Source organism: Homo sapiens, chromosome 8 (assembly GCF_000001405.40).
Source record: "Homo sapiens chromosome 8, GRCh38.p14 Primary Assembly".
Classification (NCBI taxonomy): domain Eukaryota; kingdom Metazoa; phylum Chordata; class Mammalia; order Primates; family Hominidae; genus Homo; species Homo sapiens.
In genome coordinates, this window is record NC_000008.11 from 128,795,956 (window position 1) to 128,819,593 (window position 23,638).

The 23,638-nt window shown below is 39.3% G+C and overlaps 1 long non-coding RNA gene across 1 annotated transcript; it reads right to left on the reverse strand.

Annotated features, from left to right (window-relative positions):
- Positions 1–3,938: 3,938 nt before the first annotated feature.
- Positions 3,939–14,617, reverse strand: LOC124902021 (uncharacterized). The gene is made up of 2 exons (XR_007061108.1): positions 12,119–14,617; positions 3,939–4,192 (listed from the first exon to the last, which is right to left on the reverse strand). It is a non-coding gene; the product is annotated as an uncharacterized LOC124902021 (long non-coding RNA).
- Between the last annotated feature and the right edge of the window lie 9,021 nt (positions 14,618–23,638).

The window sequence follows — 23,638 nt, forward strand, 5'->3', positions numbered from 1 at the left end:
AACATTTTCCCAAATAGAAATATTAATTCCATTGAGAAAGAGGTCACGGAAGAATGGAGAAGGGGTCATAACAGAGAGAGAGATGTTCTAGTACTTTCCATGGCCTCTACTTGAAGCACTTACAGCTAGAACCATGGAGTGCTATAGCTAAGGAATGCAAGAGCAGGATTAGTATTTATCGGGGCACCTAATTAATGTCAACTGTTCTATCTTCCACGTCGTAGTTAATGCATATGGTGTCTCCATAAGATAGAAATTATAATACCCATGTCACATGTGATGAATTGAGATGCAGAAAATGATAAAGTGAGTTACTTTAAGGAGGAATTGGAGAAAGAAGACAAATCTTCTTGCCCTTAGTCATTGTTCTTTCTGGCTTTCCAGAATACCACATACAGATCCTGATACACAGGCACGTGTCACTTAACCATGGGCACAGGCATGTACCATTTAACCATGGGGATACATTCTGAGAAATGCATCATTAGGCCATTTTGCCATTGTGTGAACATCATGGAGTGTACTTACATAAACCTAGAAGGTATGGCCTACCACACACCTAGGCTATATGGTATAGTCTATTGCTCCCAGGCTACAAACCTCTACAGCATGTTATTATGCTGAATACTGTAGCCAATTATAACACAATGGTAAGTATTTGCATATCTAAACACAGAAAAGGTACAGTATTATAATCTTATGAGATCACCAGGACATATATATGTCCTATTATTGACCAAAATGCCATTATGTAGCATGTAACTTTAGTTCCAAGCTCAGAAATGAGGCACAGTGATACTAGGCATGAGTTAAACTGGGCACAGGACACGGGAAGCCTAGAATGAATAGGAGTCCAGGAAAACATGCTAAGCAGTCAAGTGGAAAAGTCAATTCCCTCTTTGGTTCAAAGGTCAAGAATGAGTTTAGGAATTGAAGCCATCACTGAGTCAGGGATAAAATAAATTTAGGGATGCAGCAAGAAACAAGAAACAAAATCATAACTGAGGTGTAAAGTAGATTTTAAAGACAATATTCGTATGGACTGGCATGGTGCATGAGAGCCTGCTGCCAGGGCAAAGGGCTTGGGCAGCAGACAGACTCAGGTTTGAATATCAGCTTTGCTATTTTCAAACTTAGGCAGCATTTGCCCAATGTCAGGCTATATATATATATATTTGTATATATATTCACACAGAATCCTCTAAGTAACCCTATGAAATAATCACGATGATCTACTTCTACAGTAGGAGTAAAAAAACTGAGGCAGGCAGAAATTAAAGAAATTGCTCACATTCCCTATATTGGTTACCTGATGTTGCATAAAGAATCATCCCAAAATTTAGAAGTTTAAAACAATAAATATTTATTATCTCACATTTTCTGTGAGGTAGGAATCAAAACATGGCTTACCTGGATCTTCTGCTTCAACGTTTCTCATAAGGTTGCGTCTTTGTCTATTTTGTGTTGCTGTAACAGAATATCTGAGGCTTGGTCATTAATAAAGAAAAGAGGTTTATTTAGCTTATGTTTCTATAGGCAGAAAGTTCAAGGACATAGCCCTGGCTTCTGGTGAGGGCTTTCATGCTGTCTCATAACATGGCAAAGAAGGTCAGTGAGGAAGCAGATATGTGCAAAGAGACAAAACCCAAAGAGTGTCTTGACTTTATAACAACTAACTCTCAAGAGAGTGTGAACTTGCTATCGTGAGAAGGGCAGCAAGCTATTCATGAAGCATCTGTCCCCATGACCCAAATACCTCCCCGCTAGACCACCTCCCAACACTGCCACATATGGGAACAAATTTCAACATGAGTTTTCATGAGCGCAAATTCAAACCTTAGAAAGGTGTAATTAAGGCGTCCTCTGAAACAGGTTACATTTGAAGGCTTTACTGGGAAAGAATCTGTTTTCAGGTTAACTCACATAGCTGCTGGAAGAATTCAATTCCTCATGGGCATTGGACTGAAGGCCCTCATTCTTCACTGGCTGTTGGTGTGAGGTACCCTCAGTTTTTTGCCACAAAGACTTCTCTCACATGACAACTTGTTTAATCAAAGCCAGCAGCAGAGAGAGTCCACTAGTAAGAAACCACAATCTTTTGTAACTTACTCAACAAAATGACAGCCCCACTATGTTGCCATATTCTGTTGGTTACAGGTAGGTTATTCAAGAGGAAAAGATTAGAAGAAGTCCATGAATAACAGGAAATGGGGATCAACTGGGGCCATCTTAGATGCTGTCTATTTTCCCCCACTAGCAAGCAGCAAAGCTATGACTTGAACACAGGTATTCTGTTTCCAGAGTCCATGCTCTTAACCATTAAACTCTACAGCTACTGTGCCATGGGACCATGTGACCTGGGACTAAATAATTTACTTTGAGTCTCTGTTGTGTTTTTCTGTAGAAGATTCATTGATAATATCTGCATTTCAAGATTGTTGCTGGGATCAAATATAATGCATTCAAAATACCTAATACATTCACAGCTCCTAATGTATTGAAATGCACTCAAATGAACTGAAGTGTTGGTTAATATGGATATTGCTGTTTAATCAGAGTATCCCAGCATACCTGGGAGGATGAAGAGGGACTAGAAAACTCCTATTTTACAACATAGGAGCTATACTGACCTGTGCTGAGTCATCTCTGGCACTTTGGATTTTCCTTTTGCTTAGAAACTCCACTTAATTCCCAGTGTTTTCACTCTTCCCAGAAAGTGGGGCTGAATCTCTCTTTATAATAGGATTTCCTCTGTGACTAAAATGGATCAAAGCCTGCATGCATGGCCTATCGATGGAACATGGTTAGGAAATCAAGACAGACTCGGAATATTTCAGAACACTCTTTTAAATTCACCCTGTCACCCTTCATTTTTCCTACCTTTATTCCTTCCCTCCTATTGCCTCACAAAGTTGGGGGAAAATAATGTACAACCCTGCCTACCTTCTGACCAACTTAAAAGCTGTTTCTCTACAGCATGCTGAGGTACATGTCCTGTTCTGCAAAAACGTACTGAATAAAGTTGCTTCATCTTGTGGAAGCTTCCACTGCTCACCATTCTGCTGTAGAGACTGTCTTACTGTTCCTCTAGAAGAAAACAATGTAATGCACTAGTTTGTGTTGAATATTTCTCTGTCACCCCATCTCTCCTCACACTTTTGTTAAAGAGTAAAAAGAAGACAATCTCCAGGTGGCAGGGAACAACGTCCTATGAAGACCTTGCAAATCTAGAACTAGTTGATCTTACCTTTACTGCTTTCACTCTTTATAGACCCCATAGAACTCCCTCCATGATGATTCCTGAGAAGCCCATATTCTCTGCATTGTTCCCTGTACCCACCCTTCACAAACACATGAGAATACAGGTGACCAAACCTGAGAAATACAATTTTTGGTCACTGCATTGGAATCAGAGTTAAAATGAAAACGTATGACTTTACAGATCCATAGAGTATGTTTTAGCTGAATTTCTATTTTATGGATAAGAGCAACAAGAGACCTGCGTTCTAGTCCTGGTTGTTAAGCCATCAGTAGTTCATTACACAGCTTTAAGTAAAACCTTTTCCCTTACCAGAAATTAATACCCTCATCTATCAAATGGAAAGCTTTAATCGGACCCTATAAGCATCCTGGAGTTGGATTCTGAGACCATTTCTTTCTTTGCATTTGTCCTTGAGTTTCTGTGTAAAATGTAACTTGAGGAAAACTCCTTGAATCTGTACTCTAATCTATCCTAAATATGGCAAAGCAAAGCCATTTCCTGTTAAGTTTCCTTGGAAGCATAAAAAACAGAGATTGTGACTTCTCAGCTAAGTACATTTTTTCCTCCAGACCTACTTGAGGGAGGATGCGATGGGAACACTGTGTCAGACAAAATCAAAACGTACCACACAAGTGGAGCCCTCAGCTAATCCAAACAAAATGACGGGGGTGGATGGTCAAAGTCTGAACAATTTTAATGCAGGCATGAAGATAGGCCACACAGTTAGATCAGAATTTAAATAACCTCACTTCACATGTTGCATTTTAGAGCTCCCTTCTTGAGCCCTCAAAAAACTTCCAAATGTTTCATTTTGGGAAGCAGATGCCCCTGGAAATGAAGACCATTCCTCCATTGTCTTCTCCTTTCTCCCTTCCCCAGGGTTAACTGCTTGCTGTCCAGGACTGAGAATCCTGGCAGATGATACTTTCTCTGTAAAGACAGAAAGAGGGGCTCAATGTTTTGGCATGGCTTTCTTAGGAAGAGTGACATGGGTTTGATAAGTAACATGCTCATGGGAGAGGCTGAGGCAGAGGGTCCCAAGTATAGACCAGGCCATGCAGATGTTTGTCAGCAACCACCCATGGCACCACCCAATCAGCCAGACACATTAAGCCCTTCCTTGACCCCAGACACCATCCTACACACCAGGGATAAAAATGGTGAGAAAAACTGTAGTTTCACCTGGCAAAGTGGTGCCAATTCACTTATTCAAAGTAAGAGGCGAGACCAGAAGTGGACAAGGAGTTACAAAATTAGAAGTGAGCAGCTTGTTGTGAGATGGAATGCCATATAGCAGAGCAAGCTGTTCAGAACCAAGACAGAGAATAATGTGCGGATGTTGGAGGCTCACTTCTTGCAGAATGGACTGAGTGATAAAAACAAGATTGCTTTATTTTAAAGGACTCTGTTGGATAGAATAACGGACAGCTGACAAAGACTTGCTTTGTCTTTTGTTCTGCCAAACAGTATTCTTGAATATTTTTCAATATTCTTGAATCTTAAAATTGTGTATTTTTAGATTGCTTCTTTTGATATCTTTATATTGATCCCCCTTCTTTCCTCTCTTTACTCTTTGGTACTCATCTTCATATATACAGTTCAAATCAATGCCAGAATATTTGTTTAGTACCTAAAATCTGCTCCAGGTGTCTTTGTGATGACATTTTCATGGGTAGTTTAACATCAGGTACCATTTTTATAAAGGGTTTTGGTAAAAAAAAAAAAAAAAAAAATACAACCAAAGGAAAGGAAATAAGACAAAAGATGACTTGAAAATGGTCATCACCTCAAAAACTTTGAAAAAGTGTCAAAGATGGTGCATGAGGAAAAGAAAATTTTAGAGATTTGGAGGCGATACTGAAGCACGGCAGCTTCTTTTGAATAAAAAATGGGATGGAAAATGAGTTAGGGGTTAGTCATATGAAGATGATGAGTGAGGAATCGGAAGGAGGAAACTATGGACTCAACCTGACATAAAAGGTACATACAAAAACAGATGCATGGGTGGAGGGGGTGGGGGTGGAGCCAAGATGGTCGAATAAGAACAGCTCCAGTCTGCAACTCCCAGCGTGAGCGACACAGAAGATGGGTGATTTCTGCATTTCCAACTGAGGTACAGGGTTCACCTCACAGGGGAGTGCCGGACAGTGGGTGCAGGACAGTGGATGCAGCGCACCGTGTGTGAGACAAAGCAGGGTGAGGCATCGCATCACCTGGGAAGCGCAAGGGGTCAGGGAATTCCCTTTCCTAGTCAAAGAAAGGGGTGACAGACGGCACCTGGAAAATCGGGTCACTCCCACCCTAATACTGTGCTTTTCCAACAGGCTTCACAAACGGCACACCAGGGGATTATATCCCACACATGGCTCAGAGGGTCCTATGCCCACAGAGCCTCGCTTATTGCTAGCACAGCAGTCTGAGATCAAACTGCAAGGCGGCAGCGAGGCTGGGGGAGGGGTGCCCGCCATTGCTCAGGCTTGAGTAGGTAAACAAAGCCAAAGGGAAACTCGAATGGGGTGGAGCCCAACGTAGCTCAAGGAGGCCTGTCTGCCTCTGTAGACTCCACCTCTGGGGGCAGGGCACAGACAAACAAAAGACAGCAATAACCTCTGTAGACTTAAATGTCCCTGTCTGACAGCTTTGAAGAGAGTAGTGGTTCTCCCAGCACGCAGCTTGAGATCTGAGAATGGGCAGACTGCCTCCTCAAGTGGGTCCCTGACCCCCGAGTAGCCTAACTGGGAGGCACCCCCAAGTAGGGGCAGACTGACACCTCACACGGCCAGGTACTCTTCTGAGACAAAATTTTCACAGGGACGATCAGGCAGCAGCATTTGTGGTTCACCAATATCTGCTGTGCTGCAGCCTCAGCTGCTGATACCCAGGCAAACAGGGTCTGGAGTGGACCTCCAGTAAACTCCAACAGACCTGCAGCTGAGGGTCCTGACTGTTAGAAGGAAAACTAACAGAAAGGACATACACACCAAAAACCCATCTGTACGTCACCATCATCAAAGACCAAAGGTAGATAAAACCACAAAGATAGGGAAAAAAGAGAGCAGAAAAACCGGAAATTCTAAAAATCAGAGCGCCTCTCCTCCTCCAAAGGAATGCAGCTCTTCAGCAACGGAACAAAGCTGGATGGAGAATGACTTTGACAAGTTGAGAGAGGAAGGCTTCAGAAGATCAAACTACTCCGAGCTAAAGGAGGAAGTTCAAACCAATGGCAAAGAAGTTAAAAATTTTGAAAAAAAATTAGACGAATGGATAACTAGAATAATCAAGGCAGAGAAGTCCTTAAAGGACCTGATGGAGCTGAAAACCACTGCATGAGAACTACGTGACAAATGCACAAGCCTCAGTAACTGATGCGATCAACTGGAAGAAAGGGTATCAGTGATGGAAGACAAAATGAATGAAATGAAGCGAGAAGAGAAGTTTAGAGAAAAAAGAATAAAAAGAAACGAACAAAGCCTCCAAGAAATATGGGACTATGTGAAAAGACCAAATCTATGTCTGATTGGTGTACCTGAAAGTGACGGGGAGAATGGAACCAAGTTGGAAAACACTCTGCAGGATATTATCCAGGAGAACTTCCCCAATCTAGCAAGGCAGGCCGACATTCAAATTCAGGAAATACAGAGAACACCACAAAGATACTCCTCGAGAAGAGCAACTCCAAGACACATAATTGTCAGAGTCACCAAAGTTGAAATGAAGGAAGAAATGTTAAGGGCAGCCAGAGAGAAAGGTCGGGTTACCCTCAAAAGGAAGCTCAACAGAATAATAGCAGATCTCTCGGCAGAAACGCTACAAGCCAGAAGAGAGTGGGGGCCAATATTCAACATTCTTAAAGAAAAGAATTTTCAACCCAGAATTTCATATCCAGCCTAACTAAACTTCATAAGTGAAGGAGAAATAAAATCCTTTATGGGCAAGCAAATGCTGAGAGATTTTGTCACCACCAGGCCTGCCCTAAAAGAGCTCCTGAAGGAAGCGCTAAACATGGAAAGGAACAACCGATACCACCTGCTGCAAAATCATGCCAAATTGTAAAGACCATCAAGGCTAAGAAGAAACTGCATCAACTAATGAGCAAAATAACCAGCTAACATCATAATGACAAGATCAAATTCACACATAACAATACTAACCTTAAATATAAATGGGCTAAATGCTCCAATCAAAAGGCACAGACTGGCAAATTGGATAAAGACTCAAGACCCATCGGTGTGCTGTATTCAGGAAACCCATCTCATGTGCAGAGACACACCTAGGCTCAAAATAAAGGGATGGAGGAAGATCTACCAAGCAAATGGAAAACAAAAAAAAGGCAGGGGTTGCAATCCTAGTCTCGGATAAAATAGACTTTAAACCAACAAAGATCAAAAGAGACAAAGAAGGCCATTACATAATGGTAAAGGGATCAATTCAACAAGAAGAACTAACTATCCTAAATATATATGCACCCAATACAGGAGCACCCAGATTCATAAAGCAATTCCTGAGTGACCTACAAAGAGACTTAGACTCCCACACAATAATAATGGGAGACTTTAACACCCCACTGTCAACATTACATAGATCAACGAGACAGAAAGTTAACAAGGATATCCAGGAACTGAACTCAGCTCTGCACCAAGTGGACCTAATAGACATCTACAGAACTCTCTACCCCAAATCAACAGAATATACATTCTTTTCAGCGCCACACCACACCTATTCCAAAATTGACCACATACTTGGAAGTAAAGCTCTCCTCAGCAAATGTAAAAGAACAGAGATTATAACAAACTATCTCTCAGACCACAGTGCAATCAAACTAGAATTCAGGATTAAGAAACTCACTCAAAACCGCTCAACTACATGGAAACTGAACAATCTGCTCCTGAATGACTACTGGGTACATAATGAAATGAAGGCAGAAATAAAGTTGTTCTTTGAAACCAACGAGAACAAAGACACAACATACCAGAATCTCTGGGACGCATTCAAAGCAGTGTGTAGAGGGAAATTTATAGCACTAAATGCCACAAGAGAAAGCAGGACAGATCTAAAATTGACACCCTAACATCACAATTAAAAGAACTAGAGAAGCAAGAACAAACACATTCAAAAGCTAGCAGAAGGCAAGAAATAACTAAAATCAGAGCGGAACTAAAGGAAATAGAGACACAAAAAACCCTTCAAAAAAATCAATGAATCCAGGAGCTGTTTTTTTGAAAAGATCAACAAAATTGATAGACCGCTAGCAAGACTAATAAAGAAGAAAAGAGAAAAGAATCAAATAGACGTGATAAAAAATGACAAAGGGGATATCACTACTGATCCCACAGAAATACAAACTACCATCAGAGAATACTATAAACACCTCTATGCAAATAAACTAGAAAGTCTAGAAGAAATGGATAAATTCCTCAACACATACACCTTTCCAAGACTAAACCACGTAGAAGTTGAATCTCTGAATAGACCAATAACAGGCTCTGAAATTGAGGCAATAATTAATAGCTTACCAACAAAAAAAAGTCCAGGACCAGATGGATTCACAGCCGAATTCTACCAGAGGTACAAGGAGGAGCAGGTACCATTCATTCTGAAACTATTCCAATCAATAGAAAAAGAGGGAATCCTCCCTAACTCATTTTATGAGGCCAGCATCATCCTGATACCAAAGCCGGGCAGAGACACAACCAAAAAAGAGAATTTTAGACCAATATCTTTGATGAATATTGACGCAAAAATCCTCAATAAAATACTGGCAAACCGAATCCAGGAACACATCAAAAAGCTTATCCACCATGATCAAGTGGGCTTCATCCCTGGGATGCAAAGCTGGTTCAACATACAAAAATCAATAAATGTAATCCAGCATATAAACAGAACCAAAGACAAAAACCGCATGATTATCTCAATAGATGCAGAAAAGGCCTTTGACAAAATTCAACAACCCTTCATGCTAAAAACTCTCAATAAATTAGGTATTGATGGGACGTATCTCAAAATAGTAAGAGCTATCTATGACAAACCCACAGCCAATATCATACTGAATGGGCAAAAACTGGAAGCATTCCCTTTGAAAACTGGCACAAGACAGGGATGCCCTCTCTCACCACTCCTATTCAACATAGTGTTGGAAGTTCTGGCCAGGGCAATTAGGCAGGAGAAGGAAATAAAGGGTATTCAATTAGGAAAAGAGGAAGTCAAATTGTCCCTGTTTGCAGATGACATGACTCTGTATCTAGAAAACCCCATTGTCTCAGCCCAAAATCTCCTTAAGCTGATAAGCAACTTCAGCAACATCTCAGGATACAAAATTAATGTACAAAAATCACAAGCATTCTTATACACCAACAACAGACAAACAGAGAGACAAATCATGAGTGAATTCCCATTCACAATTGCTTCAAAGGGAATAAAATACCTAGGAATCCAACTTACAAGGTATGTGAAGGACCTCTTCAAGAAGAACTACAAACCACTGCTCAATGAAATAAAAGAGGATACAAACAAATGGAGTAACATTCCATGCTCATGGGTAGGAAGAATCAATATTGTGAAAATGGCCATACTGCCCAAGGTAATTTACAGATTCAATGCCATCCCCATCAAGCTACCAATGACTTTCTTCACAGAATTGGAAAAAACTACTTTAAAGTTCATATGGAACCAAAAAAGAGCCCGCATCACCAAGTCAATCCTAAGCCAAAAGAACAAAGCTGGAGGCATCACACTACCTGACTTCAAACTATACTACAAGGCTACAGTAACCAAAACAGCATGGTACTGGTACCAAAACAGAGATATAGATCAATGGAACAGAACAGAGACCTCAGAAATAATGCCACGTATCTACAACTATCTGATCTTTGACAAACCTGAGAAAAACAAGCCATGGGGAAAGGATTCCCTATTTAATAAATGGTGCTGGGAAAACTGGCTAGCCATATGTAGAAAGCTGAAACTGGATCCCTTTCTTACACGTTATACAAAAATTAATTCAAGATGGATTAAACACTTACATGTTAGACCTAAAACCATAAAAACCCTAGAAGAAAACCTAGGCATTACCATTCAGGGCATAGGCATGGGCAAGGACTTCATGTCTAAAACACCAAAAGCAATGGAAACAAAAGCCAAAATTGACAAATGGGATCTAATTAAACTAAAGAGCTTCTGCACAGCAAAAGAAACTACCATCAGAGTGAACAGGCAACCTACAAAATGGGAGAAAATTTTTGCAAGCTACTCATCTGACAAAGGGCTAATATCCAGAATCTACAATGAACTGAGACAAATTTACAAGAAAAAATCAAACAACCCCATCAAAAAGTGGGTGAAGGATATGAACAGACACTTCTCAAAAGAAGACATTTATGCAGCTAAAAAACACATGAAAAAATGCTCATCATCACTGGCCATCAGAGAAATGCAAATCAAAACCACAATGAGATACCATCTCACACCAGTTAGAATGGCGATCATTAAAAAGTCAGGAAACGACAGGTGCTGTAGAGGATGTGGAGAAATAGGAACACTTTTACACTGTTGGTGGGACTGTAAACTAGTTCAACCATTGTGGAAGTCGGTGTGGCGATTCCTCAGGGATCTAGAACTAGAAATACCATTTGACCCAGCCATTCCATTACTGGGTATATACCCAAAGGATTATAAATCATGCTGCTATAGAGACACATGCACACGTATGTTTATTGCGGCACTATTCACAATAGCAAAGACTTGGAACCAACCCAAATGTCCAACAATGATAGACTGGTTTAAGAAAATATGGCACATATACACCATGGAATACTATGCAGCCATAAAAAATGATGAGTTCTTGTCCTTTGTAGGGACATGGATGAAGTTGAAAACCATCATTCTCAGCAAACTATCGCAAGGACAAAAAACCAAACACCGCATGTTCTCACTCATAGGTGGGATTTGAACAATGAGAACACATGGACACAGGAATGGGAACATCACACACGGGGGACTGTTGTGGGGTGGGAGGAGGGGGGAGGGACAGCATTAGGAGATATACCTAATGTAAATGACGAGTTAATGGGTGCAGCACACCAACATGGCACATGTATACATATGTAACAAACATGTACGTTGTGCACATGTACCCAAAAACTTAACGTATAATAATAAAAATAAAAATAAATAATAATAATAATAAATAAATAAAAATAAAAAAACAGATGCGCAATGCTGTCATAAGTTGACTTGGGAAGTAGGATGCTTCCACATAAACACAGCTTGAGAAATAATGTGACATGTGACCCCTGTGCTGCACATTGGATTGGCCACCCACATCTGCCTTTAGGGAAGTACCTGTAGCCCCAGCAATAAGCCCTTTTATGAACTGCCTCAGTTCATGATTATATTCACCTCACTCAAGGTCGTACTCCTTCTTAGGATAGCCTAGATTTAATGACTGAACAATGTGGGACTATAAAGGCCTCACTCAACCTTAAAGAACTCTGGATGTCTATTCTAGTGCCTTCATATTTTATCTGGTCAGCTTAGGCTTTTGAGACTCTATTGCAGCTTGACTTTTTCCTCTGCCATTCTATATTTTTTTCTTTCTCATCAACAAGTATTGATTCCAAGGACATGACTTAAAATACTCTGTATGCCTACTCTAACTCTGACAACCTACTTCCCAGGAAATCCAATTTGCGGCATCATCAAATGCACTGGATTGAATGTTCATTTTCCCCAAAAACTCTCATTTTAAAATCCTAATCCCTAAGGTGATGGTAAGAGGAGGTGGGACCTTTGGCAGGTGATTAGGTTATAAGAGAATGAGATTACCAACCTTATGAAAGAGACCACGGAGTAATCTCTTACCTTCCACCATATGAGGTAACAGTGAGAAGAAGGTAGCCGTCTATGAGAAAGCCGGACATCATCAGACACCAAATGTGTCAGTGCTTTGAAGTTGGACTTCCCAGGTTCCAGACACAGGTTCCAGAAATGTGAGAAAAAAAAGCTCTGCTGTAAATAAGCCACCAAGTCTATGGTATTTTGTTATACAGCCTGAACAAACCAACACATCCACTATATCAAAAATAAAAGACATTTTCTTTGTCGGTTACTGCTATTATTTGAACATGATTGAGAAATCAAGGACTATTTTTTTCTGACATTCTTTAAAGGCTATGTCCCGTCCTCCTTCCCTTTATTCTCTCTTTTCTTCTCCCTTTCCCGTTGTCTCTCCTAACACTCCCCTTTTCCCACTTGGTTCAAGATTACTGAAACAAGATTGAACAGGAGCCACCTTTATCCCAGGACTACTAGAACAAAACATATTATAGCAAAAGCAACTTTCAGGACCTTGGGCAGCAGCACACATAAGACCCCTCCCCCAGCCACAACATTTTATTCTCTCAATAGCTGTGCCAAGCAGGATCTAGAATATTCTTTGTCAGTGAAGTAGAAGCTGTTGAAGTAACTTCTGCAATAGGACAGGTAGATTAGAACTCTGAGTTGGTATCCAACTTTAACAGTTTTTTATTATTTTGTGCTTGTATTTTTCTTGCATCCTCTAGCCCTGACAATGTCACTACTTTTCCTTAGCAGCATATTTTAAGCTTGCTCAGGTATTATATTTATGTATTGATAAAATTGGTCATGTGAATGTCTCTGTTGAACAAGCTGTATTGAATCACTGCAAACCATTCATGATCCTCTATGTACTTTGCTCCCTGGCTTATCTAACAAGAAAATACAGCTAAAAGGTAAACAGATACCTTTATATATTCTATATAAAGCAGTTACATTTCTCACCCTGACTAATTTTAAAATGTAATATTTGCCATATTCAAAAATTACCTATGGAATATATTTGGAACTTTCTTTTCCTAGTGCACCTTTCAAACAAACATTGGCTTTTTAATTTAAAATTTCAATCTAGGAACTGTTTATAAAACTTCTCCCATAGTTTTTGCTTAAATTTAAGTGAAATGCACCCCAGAGAAAGAGAGAAAGCACCCTTAAAATTACTAGTGTATAAGCTCAATGAGGGCAGAGGTCTTATTCTTCTTGTTCACCACTGTATCCCTAGAACTTCCAGGAAATTGAATGTTTAGAAAAACAAAACAAAACAAAAAACCCTTAAGTCAAGTAGAAAAGAGGCTCTAATTGTAGGAAATAAAGCAAGAAAACTCCTTCCAAGAGAAGTTCCTTCCCACTCAGAGGGAGGAAATTGAATTTCTCTGCCAATGATGTTAACACAGAGTTTTCATAGAGTGCAAACTCAGAGTAAAGAACAAAATAACTCTGTCCTCCACAAGTAGCATTTGTGCTTCCCCTGACAAAGTGCTGCCTCAGACTTCAGAGAAGATATTACTTCTGCCCAGGGGATTGGAAACTGTCCTGGAGGGCAATGAAAGTTAACTTGAGGCACTGTTCTTATTGATTCTCTTTCCAAATGCATTAAGAAATGTTTGGAATGACTTGCCTTGAGTAAAGGCACAAAAAAAGAATGTCTTTTGGGAGTTTCCCCCTGCCCCTATGCCTTGGGTTATAAAGACAATAAATATAGTAAAGTCAAGTTAAATAGACTCTGCTTCAATACAAATAATAATAATAATCATAATAATCATGGCAAAACAATGGCAAGAGGAAAATAAGAATTATAATAACGGCTTTCCTATTTCTTTCTTTTGGAATGGGAATGTCTATCCTACGCCTGTCTCACCATTGTATTGTGGAAGTAGATAACCTTTCTGATTTCACAGGTTCAGAGGTGCAGGGAAATTTCCCTCAGGTTGAATCATACCTTGAGTCTCATACGTCTGATTCAGATGAGACTCCGGACTTTAGACTTTCGAGTTGGTGCTGAAATGAGTTAAGACTTTTGGGGCTATTGGAATGTGATGAATATATTTTGCATGTGAAAAGGACATACATTTTGAGGTTCAGGGGTGAAATGCTAAGGTCTGAATGTGCCTCCCAAAATTATATGTTGTTATTTAATCACCAATATGATAGTATTCAGAGATAGCACCTTTAGGGGATGGTTAAGTCATGAGGTCATGACTAATCCCTCAGGAATAGGATTAGTAACTTTATAAAGGAGGTTGAAGGAAGCACCCAGTTCCTTTTTATGACCTTCTGTCCCTTCCTCCATGTAAGGACATAGTGGTTGTTCCCTCCAGAGGGCACAGCAACAAGGTTTCCAAACATCTTTGGAAACAAAGACAAGGCCTTCACCAGACACCAAACCTGCTGTCACCTTCATCTTGGACTTCCAGCTTCCAGAACCATTAGAAATAAATGTCTGTTCTTTGTACATTACCCAGGCTCAGGTATTTTAATATAGCAGCAGGAACAGACAAAGATAGCATGAGTTACCAATACTGAAACTTTACATATACTCTAAGACAAAGTGAATAAGTAAACACATTATAAATAATTAAAGCCAGGTTTCTCACTGTCAGAAAGAATTGACAATGTAGAAAGGAGGAAGGCAAGAATAAACTCTGTGGTATGAAACTCAAATCTAAGGTATTAGTGTGACTTCATAGTTTTTAATACAGATAGATGATTGATAGATAGACAGATGATAGATAGAAACAGAAAGAGATATAAACATTTGAGCAAATGAGATGCATATATATTTTTTTTCTAACTATGATCTCTGAAAGAATCTATATGCAATGACATTCCAATAGCAATTAGCACACTTAGCACTCAGATCTTGGTTTCTAAATTTTCTGGGGGGAAACCAGTACTCTACCAGCATGTCACTGTCACGTGGTGGCAGAGTATAAATGTGCTTTAAAAATTATAGTGTTACATCAAAGGAATCCACAAATCAATGTGAAGAAATTCCTAAAAGCCTAATCAAGGCCAATCTATACTATAAATACAAAAGTTTATAACTGGTTTAAACCAGTTTAATGCTTTATAACTCTAATAGATGAAAATAAACATCTGAGAATTCATACTGACATAAATTTAATAATATGAATAAAGAAATAAATAGGGGAGAAGGAAAAACTCTTCCTTACAGTAGAATTCTAATTAATAAATGTAGAAGGGATAATATAAATAGAAAATCAACATTTGGGGACACCACAGTAATAATTGTTGCAAGGAAGAACCATTAACAGATAATAAAATTAATGGATAAAAGTATGATGAGAATCGGATTATTTTCACAATCTCAAAATATCTACCCACAAAGTAATTATTAAATACAAAGGGTAAATTGTAACTTTACAGGAGAGGAACCTGTCAGACACATTCTTACACAAATGTTCTCATAAAATTGTTAGTAATAGAACATCAGCATTTTGTACCTCCTGATAAGATACACCGAGAAGGTCACAATATTGCTTTGGTGATGACTTTTTTTTTAACCAAAAATGCACACCTGAATTTAATAATGGGGAATACTATATAAATCTAAATTGAAAGGATATTTTACAAAATAACAGGCCCATACTCTAAAAATATCAAGTCATGAGTAACAAAGAGAGAGCGAGGAAGTCACACATTGAAGGAGTCTGAGAAGACATGAAATCCAAGTACAATGCAAAATCTAGACTGGATCCTGGACTAGAAAAGGGACAATTGGTGAAATTTACATAAGGTCTGTAGGTTAGAAGAAACTACTGTATCTGTATTAACTTCCTGGTTTTGACCATTTTTTAAATATGTATACAGAAGATTAACATTGAAGGAATCTGAATGAAGAATAGATGGGAAATACACAAAATTTTTATAAGTCTAAAATTATTTTAAAATTGAAAGTTAGACTTTTTTTTTTCTTTGAGACAGGGTCTCACTCTGTCACCCAGACTGGAGTGCAGTGGTGTAATATCAGCTCACTGCAACCTCCGCCTCTGAGGTTCAAGCGATTCTCCTGCCTCAGCCTCCTGAGTAGCTGGGATTACAGGTGTGTGCCACCACACCCACCTAATTCTTGTATTTTTAGTAGAGATGGGGTTTCGCCATGTTGGCCAGGCTGGTCTCAAACTCCTGACCTCAAATGATTCACTAACCTAGGCCTCTGAAAGTGCTGGGATTACAGGCTTGAGCCACCTTGCCTGGCCGTATTTGTTAATTAAATGAATATTTTTAAAAGTTATTAATAACCCTCTCCCAGATATCTTGCTTTAGAATCCCTTCGAGATAAATAACTACTACTTGGTATAAAGTATAAAATTTGGTATAAAGTATACAATTAGGTAGCTTCTAATAGGTATATATATTTTTTTACATCTTTTTTTTGTTGTTGTGTCTAAAGTCTAAGAACACAGGCGTATGTTGGTTTTATTTATTGCTAAGTCCTCAATACCTAAAAGATTCATCACTGGAACCATCTTAATACACATTCATTAAGCAAGTTAGCAGTAGATGTAAGTTTATCTGTTAGTCTTGTCTTTTGCTAACTGTGATTTTTAAAAAATTTGCTTAACTTTGCAGAGTCTTGGTTTCCTCATCAGCAAAATGGGCATATCCTTGCCTACCTCTTGGAGGTATGGTGGGGATTAAATGAGGTGGCATGTAGAAAGCATGTAGCAGAGTCCCTGGTACACAGTAAGCACTGAATTAGTGCTGATTCTCCTTTAACTCTCCATCAAAACCATTCTAGCTATTTTAAAGGGCTCGTATCTCTTGTTAATTTATCCAGATTGAGGAGCACTCCTGAATTGGAGTCTGCCAAGTTATTTTTAAAATAGTAACTTACTTGCTTCAGGTAAAGTTCTCATGACATGAAATTTATTTTAATTTTCTTTCCCTGAAGTTAAAATGCTTCAGTAACCCTTAACATGTGAATATTTGGGAATCTAACATTTACCAACAAGGTATGGCATCTTTAAATCATGAAATATGCAGACACCTTTCATCGCTGATTTTGCAAGTACTGTTTACTTTACAGACTTCATTGGTCCCCACAAAGTGTATGAAGAACATGGTGCTCCTTCACATATACATGAAGTCAGAGTTCTATGATTCTGTAGGTTCTGGCTTACAAAATACTTTCCATCCAGGACCATTTGAAGAATTGGGAGATGGAACAGAGAACCATCATTTATCAGGAACTTCCTCTGGAATGAGCCTGCTAATTTACACTTAATCTTTCAATTAATCCTATGAAATTTAAATGATGCCCATTTTATAAAATTCAGGAAACTAAATGTTAAGCAGGTTAAGTGACCTAGCAGCATTCTAAAACACTAGAAGATAAAATTGAAGAATTCATAATTAAAACATAAAAATATAAAGTAAAAGCACTTGAATAGAAAAAAATTAGTTATTAATCATAGTCTGTATTCCTCACATCAATAAAGACAGGAAATTTGTTTTTTCCCACACCTTTGCACAGACCTGTATGTCTCTTCTTTATTAACAAAAACATTTATCATGGCCCTACTGTGCCTGTGTTTGGGGGAGCACTATGCTGCTTACAAATGTCATAATGATTCCCTCCATTTGATACACTGCAGCAGAGACCCACCTAGGGCAGCTTTTGACTCAGGGCTCTACAAGTAACATAAATATTTTTAAAAGATGGTGACGATGGTGAAAAAATTTACCCCCGTCTTTCATCCTACTTTTCATTTCTCTTATTAATGAACTTCTTCTACCCCGACTCACTTCCATACTAGCCAGTAGAGATGGTTTGAGCTGAAGACCCCAGGTGAAAGATCTGTAGCCTGTAGCCTGTGGGGAGGGTGGATAGGGAGTGGCTTTTCTGTGCTGGGGCTGTTCACTCCCCCGCCCTCTGTCCTCCCTTCACACTCAGTCTCACTGATCTGAGGCTGTTTTCCCTACTGCTTGCCTTGAACATACAGCTGTTATTTATAGCCTTCTTTTATAGTTCACAAGGCCCTTTCCACATCCTAGCACATTCCATATGCACAAGCAGCCTGTGAAGTAGTTATTATGAGCTGCATTGGGTAGATGAAAACATGGAGCCCCAGAAAGCTGATAATTTTGTCCAAGATCAATGGTTCACAAATGGACAGGCGGGACTTGAACTTGAGAGTATTGCTCTTTCTAACACACCATGGCCCTCTGATTATAGCTACCTTACAATCCACCTACGGCAGGCATCACAAACTCATCTAAATGACTGGTCTGGCCCCAGAAAGCAGGTGAGTTTTCAACACAGCCCTTTGTCTCTCTCTCTTCCTCTCCCTGACAAAAGTATAAGTTTCAAGCTACAGAAAATTTGAAGCTAAGAAAGATATTTTGAAGGAGCAATTATAGCCACTATACCTCCAGTTGGCCTCTTGGTTTTGAGAGTAGTTTCAAATTGATTGTCATGGGCTTTATTCAGGTCTTATTTTTCTGTTTCTTGCAAGAGAAAAGACGAGAAAACTCGTATGCAATAGACTGAATGGTAAGTCACGCAAGGAGATAGTTACAGGCTTTGGCTCTCCAGATCTATTCTATCCTCACCAGGGAGAGGATGAAAGGAAACTGCTAGAAGTAGGAAAGGGACCAAATTGAAGAGAAACTGCTCGGCATTCAGGACCATTAAAGATACCAAGGGAAATTCTGATATCCTTGCCCTGGTAACCTTTGGGGAAAAAGAGTTTAGCTGATGAGATAATTATTCATGCTTGAGCTATTTTCCCCAGTACTAAATAATTAGTTCTAATGAGTTTTCCAAGGGAATATTTTTTTCAGCACTGAAGAAAACGAGGGATGGGTTCACAGAGAAAATCCGAGCAGAAGTTGAATAGAGGGTTATTGAAAGAACTGAAACTCAAGGAGCTTCAACTTCACATTCAGTCTGCCACTCAGAGACAGGCTGGCCTTTGGATAGGACCCCTCTGCCACCCAGCTTCATCAGGTCAAAGTGCCTCAGAGACACTGAAAGTGAAGAAAGACATACTTTATCTAACACATCCTCATTTCACCTGGCAACTTGGCCACTAATTCACTGTTTGAACAATTAGCAGGAATAGCAACTGTGATGGAACCCATGGAAAAGATATTAGTTGAAGGAACAGATTGTAATGAATAATCCAGCCTTTGTCATCGCAGCCCTAGGGAGAACTGTGCACACTGGCTCTTGCTAATCCTGGAAATAATGATTTTTTATTCAATGATCTTACTTAAGAGAAAGCAAATTTTCCACAGAGCATTTTGAGTGGGGCTGATTGGGCTCAGCATTGCCTTTTGAAGCAAAATAGCTTATGAGGTCTCTGAGTCAGATGACTGGCAGATTTTGCATAGGGCTTCTGTGTATGAAACAGAAGAGCCACTGGAAAGCCCTTTATGTGAGCCACACTGCTCAGTGGGTGAACGGCCAGGATTGTGTGTATCCCAATATTACAGCTAGCACCAGTCACTGGGAGCTGGAGAAATGAGACCAGCAGCACTTATTAGACTGTCTGACGTCTTCAATTCAGCTCTTCATTTTTTATTTCAGTCCTTAATTAGTGAAAGTGTGTCCCTGGAGAAGGTATAAATCAGCCCCACAGATGAATGCAGCACAGAGGCATGGGAACACAAAGAAAGCAGACTGTGACCGTGTTAGCATCAGAGGGAACATGGACCAGACTTACTCCCCTTGTACTTCCTTATAAGGGTATGGCTGACCTTGGTAATGACTGTGAGGTTTAGTTTAGTTCAGTTCAGCAAACATGGATTGAGCTCCATTATCTGCTGGGATCTGAGCCGGGATCTGGCAGTAATAGTATAAGAATAGATAAAGATAATAATGAGTTAGCACTTTCAACTTGCTGGACAAGACCAAGAACATTGAATGTGCTTCCTCATTTGATCCTTACAACAACCCTGGAAGAGACATCCTATTAACATCTGGGGAGACTGAAGATTACAGCCACTAAGTGCTACCCATGTTTATATATCTCATAAAAAAGAGGGACCAGGATTCTATTCCAGATCTGATTTCTTAGCATTGTATGTAGTCCTTGTGGCAGATCACTCCTTGTTCACCAAAATCCATTTTTATATCTTCCTAAGCACATAACAAAACTACATTTCCCAGCATTTTTTTTTTTTTTGCAACTACATATAGTGATATGTGCTTTCTTATGGGTGGATTATAAGTAGAAATGGGCTGTTCCACTAACCTCGAGGCTTTAAGGAAGATATATGCCTCCTCCAGGAATTTTTTCTGAGTCTATATGTTGAATACCAATGCAAAAGAGTACTAGGGGATAGTAGATGACAATATGAAAGGAACCTGGGCCCTTGAATCACTTCGTGATGGAAAAACACATATCAACCAGGAATACTCACTTTGGACTGTTATATAAACAAGAAAAAAAATGTTACTCTAATCAATACACTGCCCAATGTAAATTTAAATAAATCATAGCTTCTATCTTTTAGTCAAAGCTAGTGATCAGATGTTTTTATCTTTTGTATATTTTGACAACCAACATCTATTTTTTGGTTTTGTTCTCTTGGTTTTGTCTTGTTTTTACCTCAGAAATGGGAAATGAGATGCTTTCTCCCATCAAAGCCTTCAGTACCTGGAAGGTAAATTCAACAAATTTTATAAAAGGAATATTTGAGGAAATAGCAATACTAATATTGGATAAGACAAAATAGAAATACGGTAGAAGAGCTATTATTTTCAAATGAACGGTTACCAAATGCAAGACACTTTAGCCTTAGTCTCTGTGTTCCTAAGGAGCAAAATTGGGACCAGTGGATAGAACATTTAAGAAGTCAGGCTATAGTTTATTTTGTGAAATATATATGTTCTATTTGGCAAAGTGCACAAAGGTAAAGAGGGTACCTTCAGAAGATAGTGAGTTCCTTATCATCAACTGTCTTGAAGACATAGTAAGATTGGACACCATTTAGTACAAATACTGTGGAGCAAATGTGGGCAGTGAATGTGGACTTTCAGGGCAGCCAGGGTGTCCTTCAATCATCAGACCTTGTGATTCTAAGAACATTTGATTTTGTGAGTCTTAAAGTCATAGTCCACAATTCCATATTTCCACATCTCTAGGTATCCTTCTGATATAACTTTCGATGTGAATGCATTCCTCTGAAGACAAAGGAGAATATAATGGATAGATTCTCTTGGCTCAAGGACTGCTTTGGTTCAAATCCCAGCTCCTTTCTCTCTAGATGTGTACCTTGAACTAGTTGTTTTGTTTTTCTGTACTTCAGATTCCTCATCTGTAAATGCAGATAATAATATCTATCAGATTAGGTTTTTGTGAAGATTAAACTAGCTTTATGTTGAGCACTTTGAACCACCCATGACACATCATAAGTGCAGAATAATGTGAGCTATAATTATCATTGGTTAAGTGCCATTTATGCTAGATGTTTTCTTGTCTCAACACTGGCCAGTCCATTGTTCTATTCTCCTACTCTGCACTAGAATAATAAACACAGATGCGTCCCTGTGCCCTGGAAACATTTCCTCATTCTAATAGGTAGGTATGTAACGTCAAAGTCAATGACCCTAAGGAATGACTGTTCAAATTTCAGGTAGTCATAGCAGGCTATGAGGAACCACTGTGAATTTGAAAGAAGCATCTGAGACATTAAGATAATTAGGGATTTTAGGACTGTACATGTGTCCCTATCTCTGGTCCTCAGACTCCGCATCTATGAAATAGACCCTCTGGACTCCAGCATTTCTCAGCTTCCCTCTGACTCTCCTTAAGCCGAGGTGCAGCCCTGTTCCTGATACAGCTGACACCATTACACGGACTTTGCCAAGTGTAAGGACTGAGGAAACGCTTGGCCATGGGGGCCCATTTTGTTAAATCAGATATGTGTCCTCTTTATTTGTATTGAAATGAAAACCTAGGGAATAGCATAATTGGTCAATAAGGAGAAGCTGTCAGAATGAGAGCAGAGCTAAAGAAGTTGCATGTCTCTGAAACATCTAGTTCACATCTTCAAGAGGTGTTTACACATTTCTTGAAAGAAGTTTCCCTACCCTAAGTAGCCCATCTTCCAAGGCTTTGAAGCAATACCTGCTTTTTTTTTTTTTTTTGCTTTATTCAGGATTTATTTAATAAACACCTGAACCTATGTTATCATAAAGTTTTATTTCCTAGCAGACATTACAGTTTTATATTACATTTTCTTTTCTTTCACATTCTAGATTGCTGTTTCCCCCCTCAAATTCTCACTTCCCTCTCTTTCTCTCAGTCTTTCTTTCTCTTTCTTTCTTTCTCACTGAGTCAGAAGTCACAAGTTAGTCCTCCAGAATCCAGAAATAGACTTCAAGGCACTGTAGCTAAAATAGTCTGGAGCCACAGGATGAGTACGACAGACACTAAGAGTTAAGTTTAGGCATTAATCCCAAAGGTTCAGAGGAAGAGAATAAAATAAAATTTAAAAAAAAAACTGACAATGAGAGGCGAGGAATATTAGGGACAGAAGTAAATAGAGGCCCTAGTAATTACTCTAACAGACACAGAGTTTCTGATATTCATTTTATTGGCCTCTAGATGCTTGAGTTTTGAGTGGGTCAGCACTGGTGATAATTCAAATGTTATGGATGATGTGCTATTTATTCATTCATTCAACACATATTCAGCCAGCACCTATTAGGTCCTAAGGATATGATGGTGAGCAGAGGTATTATATCCCTGTCTCAATAGAGCTGATATTCTGGGAAGGGGATGGCAACCAATGGGGGACAATGAAATAAAGTATTTATATGGAGATCAGGTCTCTGAAGGCAATAGAGGTTAAGATGACACAGACTGACTGGATTTAGGTTGGGGGTGTTCTAGATGGGTGGATCAGATGTGGAGACTTTTAAGCTGAGACCTCAAAGATGAGAGGAAACCAAAGCAGAGGTAAAAGCACTCTAGGGAGAGAAGGGCAAGTACGGGTCTTTGAGGCAGAAATAAATACACGTGTCACTCAAGAAGAGCCAGAAATGTGAGTGGATTGGAATGTGGTGAGGGATGAGGAGCTGGCACCAGTAAGAAACAGAGGGGATAGAGCAGTGCAATGTACACAAGGCTTGGCCAACTCTGGGAAAACTTGTACTGAAGCATTCTATCTCATTTCTTTCTCTTTATATTATTTAGTTTTGCTCAAAGTGAAACTTTTGTATTTGACTTTTATTTACCTTTTATTTTCTTTCTCTCTCTCACTGCCTTTCTTTATATCTCCTTTCTTGGCAGAGGTTTGCACTAATTTCTTTCCCCCTCTATTCTACAAAATGAATAACTGTAAGTTATTCATCAGTTACAATGAGGACAATATCTGGAAGGCATTCCTCCACTTCCCCAGTGTTTGTGGATCTGACCTGTAACAGAAGCCCTGTTGCCCCTGCCTCCGACAGGGAATTCCTCTTTTCCACTAAGCCTGAAGTCTTACCTCTCCTCTAAGTCTCAGCTGAGTGATTGACTTCCCTTTACTGGGTATTGAAGTTAGTCATTC